Source organism: Homo sapiens, chromosome 10 (assembly GCF_000001405.40).
Source record: "Homo sapiens chromosome 10, GRCh38.p14 Primary Assembly".
Lineage (NCBI taxonomy): Eukaryota > Metazoa > Chordata > Mammalia > Primates > Hominidae > Homo > Homo sapiens.
Genome location: NC_000010.11, coordinates 110,309,868 through 110,325,879, shown reverse-complemented (window position 1 = coordinate 110,325,879; position 16,012 = coordinate 110,309,868). Strand labels below are relative to the sequence as shown.

The following is a 16,012-nucleotide window of genomic DNA, read 5'->3' as shown; positions in this document are numbered from 1 at the left end:
AGCCGCAAGTCAGAGTCACCTATGGAGTGATCTTGATTCAGAAGGCCCGGAGTGGGGTCTGGACATTTGTAGTTTATTTGTTGTTGTTGCTGTTTGAGTTGGGGTCTTACTGTGTCACCCAGGCTGGAGTGCAGTGATGTGAACATGGCTCACTGTAGCCTCAAACTCCTGGGCTCAAGCAATCCTCCCACCTCAGCCTCCCGAGTAGCTGGGACCACAGGTGCATGCCACCATGCCTGGCTAATTTTTAAATTTTTTATTTTGTAGAGATGGGGTCTCACTATGTTGTCTAGGCTGGTTTTGAATTCCTGGGCTCAAGCAATCCTCCCACCTTGGCCTCCACTGGGATTACAGAGTGAGCCACTGCACCCAACCTAGACATTTGTAGTTCTTAAAAGCTATATGGGTAGTTCTGATGCCCAGCCTGCATTGCACACCAGGGCTGTGAGCTAAGCAGCTTATCCCACAGGTGTGCAAATAAGAATTCAGCAGAGTCCCTGCCTTGGAAAGTCTATACTGTGTGTGTATGTTAGGAGATTTTTACATGCAAGCCAGAGTTGTTCAGGGGAGGAAGAGCTCCCCACAGGACAGAATGTTGGTGAAGGTTACTGGGCAAGAGTGAGAATGAAGAAGACTTTTGTGTAGAGAAGCAAGGGCAATGATGTAGCCAGAAGGGCACAGCATGAGCTGGGGTAAAAAAAGATGGAACACTCGTCAAATTCATGTGTCATCTTTATCTGATCTCTCTTTTTTGTCATATTAGTTTGTGGGAAGGGAAGTTTTCTTATCATGAGCCAATGACTGGAGAAGCTGAGGTTTGTTTCCAGAACTCGGTGAATCAATGCTATCTGATATTCCTGATACTTTGCTGAAACTGTTCACCAAACTTCCTCTTTGAGCACAAAGGGGATTTTAAGAGGCAACATTGGGGCTTTCACATATTTATGTTTTTAAAATCAAATACACCGAGTGGAAAAACCCTATGAGATCACCTCTGTGCCCTAAGCAAACTGCAAGGGATATACAATCATCTTCTTAAGAGAAGGAGGCATTTCAATTCCTTCTCAAACCAAACAAAGATAAACCTGATCAAATCCAGCCAGGCTGCAAAAGTGATTAGGAGGAAGGCTAGAAACAACCTGGAGAATACAGAGGAAGTTTGTAAATTGGCTGGCAATTGGATTACATTTAAAAATTCAATTAGTGACAGATTCAGAATAGCGTTTCCTTCGGTGAGTTTGTTAACTACCGGGCAGAGCCTTGGTTGTTTGCTGATAGCACAGAAAGTGAGTCATTCAGTGTTGGGCTGGGACAAGTGTCACCCACTCACTTTGATGGATACACCCCAAGCATAGAAATATGTGGTCAATGGGAGTTCAAGACCAGCCTGACCAACATGGAGAAACCCTGTCTCTACTAAAAATACAAAATTAGCTGGGCATGGTGGCACATGCCTGTAATCCCAGCTACCAGAAGTTTGAGGCAGGAGAATCACCTTAACCCAGGAGGCGAAAGTTGCAGTGAGCCAAGATCACGCCATTGCACTCCAGCCTGGGCAACCAGAGTGAAACTCCATCTCAAAAAAAAAAAAGAAATATGTGGTCTGATTTTTTTGAGCTCTATCACTGCTCACTGTTCTTGACAACTTATTTTCCTTCTTTGACTTACCTTTGTTGATGCTACTTCTGCTACTTCTAAATTGCTTTTTAGTAAACCATGAAGGGGTCTCCCTCATATGAAAGGAGTTTCTTGGGGGTACAAAGAGAGTTGGCAACAGATGTTCAGTATATGGCTTGGGCTGGACATTGGAGGAATATTGCCTCTCCCAGGTCTCAGGACTCCCACCTATGTTATCTATTAAGTGGACTCAGGATAAGAATTCTGGGATAGACAAGAGATATCTACAGAAAGCACTAGTGTGGTAATTAGCTCCGGCAATGAAAATAAACAAAACATGTACAAATCTTTCAAGTATGGTCATAATATAATCTTTATAAGAGAAATGTTATCATCTGGGAGGACGATAGAAAGGAAAGAAAGGATGGAAAGAAAAGCACCAGGTCACAGAGGAGGGAACTGGCATAGTGAGCTGACTCACTAGGTCCCTGGGCCTATGCTCAACCAGCTCCAGAAGACAAGGAGCAAGAGCAGGAATGTGCGGGAGGGCAGCTGATGTGGCAGTGATGCAGCAGCAGAGAGGCCTCCTGACAGAGCTAAACCTGACTCATGCCCATTTGTCTGGGACAGCCAGATCTTTCTGCAGGTCCCATTTTTCCTGGTTTAAGCTGGTCTGTAAGTTGAGTGAGAATCATTTTCCTGGGTGTCAACTCTGTGGCCTTCCCTTCAGAGTGGACATAAAATCAATAATGCTGATGAGCTGAAAATGACTGCAAACAAAAGACAATATTTTGGAGAAATTTGGGCTTTGTTTTGGCAAATGAGTGGCTTAAGAGTTAGAAGGAAGAATCCTAGGGATATGAGTGATGGACATGAGTACTAGTCCACAAAAAGTGGTATAAAAAGCAAAGAAGGGTAGTCTCTCACCTACAGCAGAAAAGAGTCCAAAACGGTTTCATTGAAAAAGATCACTCTCCTAGTTTAAGCTTATTGTTGGTCTACTCATGTGCTAGTGACCAAAGTTACACATGAATTGCTTAGCCCAACGCATCTCCTTGGTGGAAAAATAAGCTCAGTTGCCTCACTGTCCATTATGTAAGCACGTGTACAAAGTTCCCCTCCTTGGGCCTTTGCCTCAGGTTCTTTGCTGGTTTTCTCACCTGGATAATCTTATTTGGGGAGGTTTATCATGGCAAAAGAAGAACTTACTGCCTGAGAAACAGATAGGCTCCATATAGGGAATCAATTCAAACTCTTGTTTCACTCAGCCATTTGCTCATTCAACAAACACTCAGCCCCAGCTATTTGCCATGTTCTGGAGATCTACAGATGAATAAGACCTGATGCTAAAGGAAAATCAATGGCAAGAGTACAATGGAACACCAGATATAATAGAGGTAAAGGAGCACAGATACCACAGCACTACGCAGGATGAGCAGGGGGCATCCAGTTCCACCTAGGGAAAGGGGTCAGGGACGTTTTCCAAGAGAAGATGACCCTTGAGTTGGTGATTGAAGGATGAGTACAGATTAGCCTGAGAAACAAGAGAATAAACTTCCACTAAAAAAGATCAACATTGGCAAACCACAGAGGTGTGACACTGTGGCTCATTTGGAGACCTCCAAGTGGCATAACTAAGGCTAGAGATGACATCAGGACCCAGATCTTGAAGCAATATGCTACGGTATAGAAATTCTGTTTCCAAAGGGATGGAAAATCACTGGAAGATTTTAAACTGGAAAGTGACAAGGTCAGAATTCGGGCTTAAAATAACCATTCCGGCAGCAGAAAGAGAAGAGATCAGGATGACAATTTAGGAGACTCCCAGGCTATAAATATGGAATTGTACTAAGACAGCAGCTGTGAGAAAGGAAAGAGGCTTGAGCTATGTAATGACATAGTAGATGGAGTTGGTGTCCCACTGAAGTAGAAAAGAAAGGAGAAGAATGAGTTCAGAGGGACTCCAGGGTTCTCTCTTGTAGAAGGCAGCAGGTAGCATCATTTCCTGAAAAAGTAAATATAAGAAGAGGAGCAAATTCGGAGGGAAGAGGATAAATTCCATTTTGGACATGTGTGCAAAATGTCTGTGGCTTCTTTCACTTTTAGCAGTTTGAGTAAAGTGTTCCAAAGTATGCTTTTCTTTGTATTTATCCTGCTTGGGGTTTACCAAGATTCTTGGATATGTAACTTTATGTCTTTCACCAAATTTGGAAAAACTTCAGCCACTATTTTCTTATTTTTTCTTTTTTGATACAGAGTCTTGCTCTGTCATTCAGGCTGGAGTGCGATGGTGCAATCTCAGCTCACTGCAACTTCTGCCTCCCAGGGTCAAGCAACTTTCTTGCCTCAGCCTCCTAAATAGCTGGGACTACCGGTGCATGCCATCACACCCAGCTAAATGTTGAGTTTTTAATAGAGATGGAGTTTCACCATGTTGGCCAGACTGGTCCCAAACTCCTGGCCCCAAGTGATCCACACATCTCAGCCTTCCAAAGTGCTGGGATTACAGGCATTAGCCACTGTGCCTGGCCTAATTTCTTTTTTTGCTTGTTTGTTTGTTTTTTGAGAAAGGGTCTTACTCTGTTGCCCAGGCTGGAGTGCAGTGGTGTGATCATAACTCACTGTAGCCTCAACCTCCTGCTCAAGCGATCCTCTTGTCTCAGCCTCCTGAGTAGCTTAGACTACGGGCGTGCACCACCACACTTGGCTAATTTTTAAATTTGTATTTAATAGAGATGGGGTCTCTCTATGTTTACCAGGCTGGTCTTGAACTCCTGGGTTCAAGCAATCCTCCTGCCTTAGCCTCCCAAAGTGTTGGGATTACAGGCATGAGCCACTGCACCCAATCTCAGCCACTATTTTCTAATACATTTTCTGTATTATTTTCTCTTCATTAGGGATTACAAGTGTGCTTATGTTAGAATTTTCTGTGTTGACCCAGAGGTCACTGAAGCTCTTAATTTTTCTTCAATCTTTTTTTTCTCTTTTATCTTCTGTTCTGATAATGTCTGTTGGTCTATCTTCAAGCTCACTGATTTTGATCGGCCATTTCTAATCTTCTGTCAAGTGCATTGAGTGAATTTTTAATTTTAGATGTTATTTTTTACTTCTAGAATCTTCTATTAGTTCATTTTTGTAGTTTCTGTCCCTCTGCTGAGGTTTCCTCTCTGTTCATTCATTATGAGCATATATTTGTTTATGTCCTTGAGCAGAGTTAAAATAGTTTACAATAGTTAAAATAATTGTATCCTCATTCAAACTTTTACATCATCTTAGATTCAATCTCTATTGATTGCCTTTTCTTTTGAATATAGGCCACGTTTTTCTGTTTTCTTCGATTGTCCAGTAATTTTGGATTGTGACCTGCACATGGTAAATTATACATTATAGAGACCATGGTTTCTGTTATGTTCCTCTGGAAAGCTTTTAATTTTTTGTTTTACAAAACAGTTAACTTGGCTACACTAAAACTTCAAACTCTTTCTCTCGTATAATGTGCAAGAGTTAAAATGTCCGTTCAGTTCTTTTGTCATTAGCTAGGCTATTTGAGGTCTGCCCTTTATGTGTATAATCTGGAGGACAGTCAGAGATTTGGGGAAAGTTTATACACAGAATTTTTGGCTTCTCTTCTGTGGCTCTCTCCTTTTTAGGATACCCACCACCACAACAATTTCCCAGTTGTTGCAATAGCTGTGATAACCTCAAGGTCTGACTTCCAATTCCTCAAAATTGTATATTTCTATCCAAATTCTAACTATCCCATCACAGAGCTGACTGAGGCCTTTCCTCAGGCAAAAATTCATTAGGGAAAAAAAAAAAAAAAGCAAACTCATCCAGCACCATTTCCTTCTTCCAATTGTAAATTATCCTCTGGTTTCTAGTTTGGTCACTCTGTAATGCCTTTAGGTCAATTTTTTTCCTCCAGAGTTTATAATTGTTATTTGCAGAAGGGCTGATCCAATATGAACTACCTGCTATTAACAGAGATGGAATTCCAGGGGTTTAATAAATACTTATTGAATAGATTCAAGTACCCACTTTATAGCTATGTGTTGATCACTGATAGACAACATATGCTTCATCTAGCACAAATTAACTAAACTCCTGGTTCTCTCTCTCATTCCTACCTCCCGCCAACCTGCTCCTCCCCAAGTCTGAATATATTTCCAACTGCCTTGATATTTCCACTTGAATAAATAATAGGCCTTTCAAATTCAACATATTCAAAACGGGAATATGCCCACCTCAGGGTCTTTCCACTTGCTGTTCCCCCTGTATGGAATGATCTTCCACCAGGTATCCACATGGTTCACAATTCTCACTCCCTTCAGGTCTCAGCCCCAAAGTCAACTTTTCAATGAGGCCTTCCTGACCGTTGCTATAAAACAAATACAACTCCTTCCCTCCTTTGCACTACCTATCTCCTTGCTCTCCTTTGCTTTTCCCCATAGCACTTATCTTCACGTAACTAGTATCTGCTTTTTAAATTGTTGCTGTCTGTCTCCCCTCACTACCATATAAGGTCCGCAAGAGCAGGGCCTTTTCACTGCTTTCTCCCAAACACTGAGCAAAGAGCATGATATAGAGTAGGCGTTCAATAAATAGTTGTTAAATGAAGGTTGAAACTACTTGAATCAAAGTGAGATGAAAACTTGCGTAAGGAAGGAACACTAATATTTACAAGCCATGTGGTAGAACAAGAGCCTATAAAAACAAAGAGTTCCATCAGCCAAAGGGAGAAAATCCAGGAGAGAATAATGTCACAGAAGCCACAAGAGGAGTTTTCTTTCCGACCCCCGGCTTTTTTCTTTTTTTTTTTTTTTGTTGAGACGGAGTCTCGCTCTGTCTCCCAGGCTGAAGTGCAGTGGCGTGATCTCGGCTCACTGCAAGCTCCGCCTCCCAGGTTCACGCCATTCTCTTGCCTCAGCCTCGGGAGTAGCTAGGACTACAGGCGCCGACCACCACGCCCGGCTAATTTTTTGTATTTTTTTTTTTAGTAGAGACAGGGTCTCACCGTGTTAGCCAGGATGGTCTCGATCTCCTGACCTCGCGATCCGCCCGCCTCAGCTTCCCAAAGTACTGGGATTGATTACAGGCGTGAGCCACCGCGCCTGGCCTCACAAGAGGAGTTTTCATAAGGAAGGTGTCAAATATTGCAAAGATCAAGTGAATGGCAGAGTGGCTCTCTGAGAGTTAGGAGGGCTTTGATGACTTTGTGTATGACAGTCATTTCAGTGATACAGTGGAAGACTACAATGGGCTGAGAAGTGGCAGCAAATAGAAACATAAGGTCAAAGGCTAGGAAAAGGGGCTAGAAGGGAAGCAAGGCTGAAGCTGCAGGAATGAGGGAATAATGAGAGAGGAAAGTTGGGGAGAGATAAGCTTAGCCCAGCTGGAGCTGTTTGCCTTGGACAAGAGCAAGGAGACTTCTCCCTTTGACTCTGAGATGCAAGAAAGGAGGGGAAGAAGGGTTTCTTTGATATAGAGTCAGGGCTGCTACATATGGTTATATTGGTCATGTCCTGTATGTGGATCCCTGGCTGAGAGGAGCATTCTGCTCTCCAAGCTATAAGCCCTGATGTGGGGCTGTGTCTACCTAGAGGAAGAGGCATCCTTAGTCACGTACTATCTAAACATGTCTCTGTGGCATCACATTTGTTGAAGGGAGGGGGTACTTTTGAAATGAGAGGAGTTTTCCCTTATCCCCTTCGCAAAGCATGTGACAGGGCTGTGGCTTGCTTTTTTGGTATCCTGCTGCTCAAACTCCTAGCAGAAACATGCAAACAGGCAGGTCATGGGGAGTGCTTTTGGGCTTTGACCCCATGGCAGCATCTAAGGTTAAGTGTGTACAGCTCCCAAAGCCCCAGTGGGCGTGTGTTACAGTGCGCTCTTTCACTTTTGCTATCTGCAGGTGGCTTGTGTTAATCTGCTCAATTAGACCCTCTGCCTTATTGCAAGGACAGAGGATTTCTGTATCCCAGGTTCTTGCCTTAGTGTATCGGAAAAATTGGGTCACACGTGGGCTTGGAGGATGGGTGCAAAGTTTTTTATTAAGTGGTGGAAGTAGCCCTCAGCGAGATGGATGGGGAGGCCAGGAGGGAGATGGTGTGGGAAGGCTGTCTTCCCCTGTCCCCTGTCTTCCAGTTGGCTGGACTCTTCCAACCGCCCCCCCACCGAATTCCAAAATGTCCTGTCATCAATGGCCTGCCAGCGTCTGCTGGTGTCTGTCGGTGTGCTCCTCTTCTCCTCTGATCCTCTTGGCATCCAGCCGCTTGTGTGTAGGCCCGCTAGGATCTTCAGGTTTTTGTGGGCACACGATGCGGGGTGTGGCAGGCCAGGGTGGTCTTGGAAAATGCAACATTTGGGCAGGAAACCAGGAATGCTTGTCCTCCCTTAGGTCCTTGGGCGCAGGCCCGAAGGTGGAGCCCTCACCAGGGACCTCACCCTTCTCTACCCAGCACTTCCCTGCCCCCCTCTCATATCGCCTTTTTCTAAAATTTACAAAAGTGTCCTTGTATTGAACTTACATATTTTTAAATAAATATGCCATAAGGACTCTTATGAGATCTTGATTTCTCTGCTTTTTAAACATACGACACATCATATATCGAAGAAATAAAATATTACAGACATAATGAAAAGCTTTCTGTAGTACCCCAATGCCCCTCCTTCTTCCCCGGAGACAACCACTATCCTGAAGTTGGTATTTTTCATTTTCATGCATGGTCTTATACTCTGCTACCAATGTGTTCCCATAAACAATATGAAATATTTTTCCATGACTTTAAAATTTGTATAAATGGTCTCCAGCTATATATATTATACTGAAATTTTCTTTTTGTTGTTGTTGCTTAACATTTTTTTGAGATTTATCCATGTTGATATTTGTACCTCTAGTTCATTTTTTTTCATTTCATAAAATATTTATTCAATACTCCATTGAATAAATATACCACACTTTTCCCAGCAGTTTCCTGTTGATGGGGATTCAGGTTTTGTTTTAAAGTTTTCCTTTTTAAAATTAAAGCTGAAATCAGTTTTATGTGTCTCCTTATTACATATCCAAGAGCTTCTCTAAGAATAGAATTGCTGGCTACAGGAGCACCCACCTTACCCTTACTAGATAATGCCAAATTGGCCTCCACAGTGGGTATGACCATATGTAGTTCCACTAGTCGTGTATGAGTGTTACCATTTGCTGAGTGTTTTCTTTTCAGACTTTAACATTTTCTCCTACCTGAGGGGCTATAGTTTTTGTGGATATATCCCTGATTATTCATAAGTTTGAGTATTTTTCATATGTTATCAGCCATTTGGGGTTCTTTCTTTTGTAAATTGTTTGTTTAGATAACCTCCTACTTTCCTTCTTTCTTCTACTTTTCATTTTTCCATTGGGTTATTTATTTTCTAAATGATACATAGGATTTTTAAAATTATTATTATTATGGCTACTAATTCTTTATCACAAGTAACTTCTCATGGTCTGCGGATTGTCTTTAACTTTTTAAGAATGTCTTTGTATACATGATTTACATTTTAATCTAGTCATATTTTTTCAGTATTTTCAAGGATGAATAAAACCTGAAGGTGTATGTGCTGGGGGGGGAAGGTATCTTAGGAAATTCTTGCCAAATGATCTTTCTTTTCTCTGTAAAATGAAAGGGGAGGACAACTCTTAGATATAGCTGTAGAGTTCCTGAGATTCCACCTTCCATCACCTTGTATTAACTGAGTCCACACCAAATGCCTAGACCTGGGAGTTGGCTGGGGTTGAGGGGAGGGGGACGAGGTAGGATTTCATACATGGAACCCTGCCTTACTAGAACTTACCATCAGAGGACTAATAAGCATTAGACTGTGTAGCTCTGAAATACTGCAGTAGAAACTTGAGGAAGGAGAGATTGGGATAGGATTGAGTAATTGTCTATGGACTGGATTCATCAGGGCAGACAGACTGTATGTCAAATGTTATGACTCCTGTACACTCAGGAATCACAGAGTCTTAGGCTGCAATGAAATATAAGTAAGAGTATTCATGGATAATATCTTAGTTAATGAAAGGAGAAGAAGTATATTAAAGTATAATATATAAAATTATATTGAAATTATGCCTACAAAAGGTATCTTTACATTTATATTTTAAACCATGGTATTATATATAGTATATATTATATTTATAATTATATATTTATATTTTATATTTAAAACCATTAAAATTTTTTAAATTGTGGGAAGTTTCATTAAAGAAAATTAATAGATAACTGGTGGTCAATTGACCATGGAAGGAAAATCTTCATCTATAGATTTCATATAAATATTTTATAAGGAGATTTAGATATAGTAGTTATAAAAGATGTAACAATTTTGTATTTTGATTAAATATGTCTTAGGTTGAATTCATTAAATATTAACAGTATCAGAAGTGACTAATTCCATAAAACTAGGTATTTCACTTTATGAATGTGATGTGCACACAAACTAATTTGTCTAAATGACCTTATTATGTAAAAGAATATGACATATGTCCAGAAAAAACTTGCTAACAACTTTTTTTAATTCCTACTGTTGGTTAAATATCTTCATTTTTAAAAGTGTTTAAAACTACATTTAATAAATTCTGAAATTATTTTTTAAAGATAATAAATAAATGTATACAGTTAAAACATCTATCTCTTTATCTGTATTACATTTAAGTGTTACACCAATAAAAAATGTTCATGAGGTGATATCCTACATAAGGCAATGAGGTAAAGTAGGTTGGGAATAACTATTCTGGTAATTTTAGGTAAAATAAAAACAAATTTTAAATGTGGGGGGAAAAATAAACATAAGGAAGGAAATGGAGGCCCACTGAAATTAAGGTCTCTCTGCAGAAGGTCTCACAGCTAGTGAGAGGCAGAATCCATACTAGAACTACAGATTCCCATCCAGGGTGCTGTCTCACCTGCTCATTAAGAATGCTGACATGGGGCCGGGCGTGGTGGCTCATGGCTGTAATCTCAGCACTTCGGGAGGCTGAATTGGGTGAATTGTTTGAGCTCAGGAGTCCAAGTCCAGCATGGGCAACATGGCAAAACCCCATCTCCACCAAAAATACAAAAAATTAGCCAGGCACGATGGCACATACCTGTGGTCCCAGCTACTCGGGAGGCTGAGGTGGGAGGATTGCTTGAGCCCTGGAGATGGAGGTCGCACTGAGCCAAGATTGTGCCAATGCATTCCAGCCTGGGCAATAGAGTGAGACCTCATCTCAAAAAAAAAAAAAAAAAAAAAAGAGGTCTGGGCACGGTGGTTGATGCCTGTAATCCCAGCACTCTGGGGGGCCGAGGTGGGCGAATCACCTGCTGTCAGGGGTTCGAGACCAGCCTGACCAACATGGAGAAACCCCGTCTCTACTAAAAATACAAATTTAGCCGGGCATGGTGGTGCATGCCTGTAATCCCAGCACTCAGGAGGCTGAGGCAAGAGAATTGCTTGAACCCAGGAGGCAGAGGTTGCGGTAAACTGAGATTACACCATTGCACTCTAGCCTGGGCAACAAGAGCGAAACTCTGTCTCAGAAAAAAAAAAGAATGTTGACATATCTTCCTTTGATGGTAAAATAGTTTTGAGAGTGATGTGAAGAAAAAACTAATTAGTCAAAACAGAACATCAACACCCCAAAAAAGCCCATGACCATTAAATGTGGCACAGAAACTGTTAGAAACAGCTATTATATTCACATCCATTTGTTTGTCTTATGAGGATATAGGGAAATATGTTATCTTCATTTTTTTTCCAGATAAGATGCAAAGAACATGTTCAATACTTTCATAAGCCACAGGATCAATGGCCACATGTATCTATACATCATAGCTACTTTCTTGTCTCAGTTACATGAACATTGTTCTTCTACTGAAAGCCAGGTTAATTGGTTCTACTTAATGTTGCCTGTAGAGACATCATCAGACTTGGGCAGCCAGTAGCGCTGAAAATATAGACCAGAGCTATGTTGATTAAATTGCTCATAACCAAGCTGCTATTACAGCTCTCATTTTTCATATCTATATACTTACCAGCACAAATGAATGTAAAAATCACTTTCAATTGGCTGTAAAAAAACATGCTATCACTAGGATTAATCAGAAGTTCTTTCCATAATGAAAATGCCTAAAACATTCACTCCTTACTTTTTACTATAGTAATAAACTTATGAAGAAATTGATGTCATGTGTCCAAGTGTCAGAGAAGTATTATAACACCAATTACAAGAAATCTTTAGAATATTTGCCAAAGTCAAATATAGTGTTCACTGATACCAAAAATATACTTTCTCTGTGTTCTCAAGGAGATCAAATGTAGTCCAACTAAACAGTCACGTTATCAAGGAGGCTCATCTCGCCAGGTGTTGAAGATGCAAAGAACAGGATGTGACTACCCCCTACCCCTTGGATATAATGTCTCAAGGCTCCCAGTTCTAAACCCAGTAGTCCAGGGTTCTCTTAACAAATATAAAAAGACTAAGGGAGCAGAAAAGAGAAGCAAGGAGCTCTACTCCTGAAAGCTGGTAAGTTGTCACCAATGCCCATTAGAATTGGGTCTTTTGGTGGGGCGTGGTGGCTCACGCCCGTAATCCCAGCACTTTGAGAGGCTGAGGTCAGGAGTTTGAGACCAGCTTGGCCAACATGGCGAAACCCCATCTCTACTAAAAACACACAAAAAAATATTAGCCCGGCGTGGTGGCGGGTGCCTGTAGCCCCAGCTACTCGGGAAGCTGAGGCAGGAGAATCACTTGAACCCAGGAGGTGGAGGTTTGGAGATTGTAGTGAGTTGAGATCGGGCCACTGCACTCCAGCCTGGGTGACAGAGTGAGACTCTGTACCAAAAACAAACAAAACAAAACACAAACAAAAACAAACAAAAAACTGGGTCTTTAAAGGCATTCTTCCAGGCAGGGAAGTGGGGAAAGGCATGTGAGGTAAAGCAGACACTTGGAGCAAAGGCAAAAATGCATGAAAAGACAGGGCAGGTTTACATAAGGAGTGTGTGCCAGTGCTAAGGCTGTGACAGCATCCCCAATGGCCTTATATGCTGGGCTAACCAAGGATTTCAATGAGTAGGTGTGGGCTTGCTAAGATTGGTGTTTCCAGAAGATCAATCTGATAACCAAGAGTGGAGGATGCGTCTCAGGAAGGAATTCATTCTTAGGCTATTGCATTAGACAAAGTGAGAAATGATGGCAGTCTGGTTTGCAACACAGGGGATAGAGGAAAGAGAATACATCCAAAAGACTTTCAGAGGGTCTTTAAAACTAGTTAAATGACCATAAGGGAGGAAAGTGATTTCTTCAGCTAAAACTAGAAAAAAAAATTAGGAAGAGCATCAGTGTCACAAAATACAATAAAAGCCAAGGTCAGGCAAAAATATCAATTTAAAATCTTCTTCCTAGCCAATCATACATTTACTACCTGCAAATAGGCTATTTTCAGAAAATATCATTTATTCTCCGTTTTCTTTCTCTTTTTATAAAACTCACTCTAATGGCTTTTTGATGAGATGGAGTAAATCATCACCAATTGTGCCAAAATATTTTGGAGTATTCTGCAACAGAGGAAATGCTTAATCTTTGTACCTGAGATGCTTCTGCATAAGCAAACTCTCCTACAGCATAAAATATATATATATCAGAAATCAATTTGAAACAAACATATCATCTGCAGGAAGTGCTGAGGCATTTCTCCATTAGTTTTAATCCAAGGAAAACAAGATGAGAAGGTGATGTTTCATGATCTCTAATATGGGTAGCTTTTGCAAGAGAGACAATGTCAGAGATACCAAAAATAGGGGTGATACTCAGAAAGTACGTCGTTTTCATCTGTGTAGCAGATGTTATGGTATGCTTCCCAGATTCCCTCTTTAGGACTGAGGTACTCATCTTCCTAGCAGTTGGGAGTGCTAGTAGCTGACAGCTCTTAGCTGAATTGCTCTTAGCCCCTTTCACAGGGATAGCCCCCATCTATTGGCTGGTCAATTGATGATGGGTGAACATAAAGCCCTGGCCCCTTGACTTAAGGGACAGGGGCATCTCAGTTACAGAAGGGCCATCCCAGTTCCAGAGCTTCTATGGGACTGATTAAGGTCCCTATTGCAAGCGCATAACAGTTCACCTTCTTCCTCTGTCCAGTCCTGCCCATCAGCCGTCACAGGTGATGTTCCCAAGGGCACTCTCCAAAACTTTACCTTTCGCACAGAACTTAGAGTCCTTTCCCCATGAAACCCAATGTACAAAGCCAACCAGGACCACCAGGAGCCTTTCATGAGCAATAATTACAGAGGATGAGAGTGTCACTACAAAAGTCCCTTGAACTCTTACAGGTCTTTAACAAAATGAGCCACACTTCCTACTTATGCTCTAAGACTAATAACACAGAGATGTAAACAGCATTACAAGTGGTCTATAAAGGGCTTTAGATATAGAAGAATTTATAAAGGAAGGAATCACAGGAAGGCCAAAGAAAAACATATATATTAGAACCAAAATGGAAGTTGAGCACAGAAAACTTGCTGTTCTTCATCATTTGGATACTGCGAGCCATAGTTTTTTGGGGGTGTTTGTTTTTCCCTAACTCCTCTCTCCCCACCACGCTACCTGGCAATATTCCTTCACTAAGGCTGGAGGAGGTGGGGGAGGGGGCGGAGAAATCAGACATTGAAAGATTCCTGTATCCTGACTGCCACCTAATGGAATCTTTGAGCATTAAGGTCTCCATTGTGTAGTTTTTTGGGGTTTTTCAACTGCTGACATATCAACAAAATGGCAAATGTGACCATGTCAAATTATGCCCACTAGTCTTCATGGGGCAAAACTCTGGGATTCATTTTGGTTTTTGGAAAAAGTCAAGTTAACTGCCTTATTTTTTCCTGTCTACATTTGGGAATGTACATCCCCTGCCACTCATGGTTGTTCAGTTTAAGCAAACTTCATTAAAAGATTGCTCTATTATCCACTGTGCAATACAAATAATGTGGACTATTTCACACCATTCCTCTTTTTTCTAAGATAAATGATCTGTAAGTGACATGAATATGGGGTGGGGAATATCCAGATAAGAAAGGTACTTTCAGGGGCTGTGATGCAAACGAATCCAATGAATTCCGAGTTTAAAAGACTGTCTTAAGACTGCTGCTGGAGCTGCTATACGAGAAAGTTAAACAGGGCCAAAAAATGAAAAAAAAATTCCTATCACAACATCAGAAGGCAAGACCCACTTGACTCTCCTGCATGTGGGGAAGTCAAAGTAATTCTTTCACATTAATCATGCTTTCCTTCCTGCCCTTCAAAGAGCTCCTGGTGACTGCTACAGCCTCCTGCCCACATCTTTCCTGCTAAACATTGACCCATCTGGCTTTCTATTGTCTTTTGTTTCTGACAATGCTTTTGTAATCTCCTGTATTACTTCTGAGCTTGTTAAGCTATTGCTAATGCCCAGAGTTCCCTGCAACTATCTTCTGCTCTTCCCCATCATCCCCAAACACACACGTACACACCTCCCAAAACTATTCTAAAAGGCGTTTTAGCCAGTCTATCTATACTTTTCATTTTGAAAAATTTGAAACAATCACTTCTATAGGACACTTCTATAGTCAGCATAGGACATTCTCCTAAGAAGCCATAAAATAGTTTTTACATCTAATAAAATTAGCAATAATTTAATATAATCTAATATTGAGTCCATATTTAAATTTTCCAGTGATCCCTAAATTTTTTTTACAGCTTTGTTTTTCAAAACCAAGATCAATCAAGATTTATCCATTGCACTTGTTACATCTGATTACCTCTTAATCTAGAACAGTTCCCACGCTTTTCAATGTCACTGACCTTTGGAAGAATTTAGGTGTTTTCTTATACAATGTCCCATATTCTGGATGTAATTCTTCCCTCATGCTCAATTTACTCATTCCTTTATGCCCCTATTTCTTGTATACTGGAAGTTGGGTCAATAAACTTGATTGTATTCAGGTTAAGCATTTTTGGCAACCCTCCTTCACAGGTAATGCTATTAGTGCTTCATGTTGCATCAAAACAACAGGCATATAAAATCAGGTTGTTCCACAATTAGCGGTGCTAAACTTGATCTCTGGGTTAAGTTGGTGACAGCTGAATTTCATCATAGTAAGGTATATTTCCCCTTTGTAATTATTGGATAGTCTGTGGGGATACTTTGTATGTAGGTGTGATACTTTGACATTATGCCAACATCCTCCTTTTCCCTACCTCCTTTCACCAGATGGTTTTTAGCTTCTCTTGATACTTGCCTGAATTATTGGGAATTGCAAACGGTGATTTTTCTGATTCCGTCATTTTATTTATATGAATTGGCTGGCATTCTTCTTTAAAGAGAAACTCCCTTCCCAA

General features: G+C 41.0%; 1 annotated feature.

Annotated features, from left to right (window-relative positions):
• Nucleotides 512–671: an enhancer, noted in NCBI's record as "active region_4008". NCBI's record gives its function as "activates an Ori minimal core promoter by ATAC-STARR-seq in GM12878 lymphoblastoid cells {active_cell/tissue: GM12878}" and the evidence as "EXISTENCE:reporter gene assay evidence [ECO:0000049][PMID:35858748]".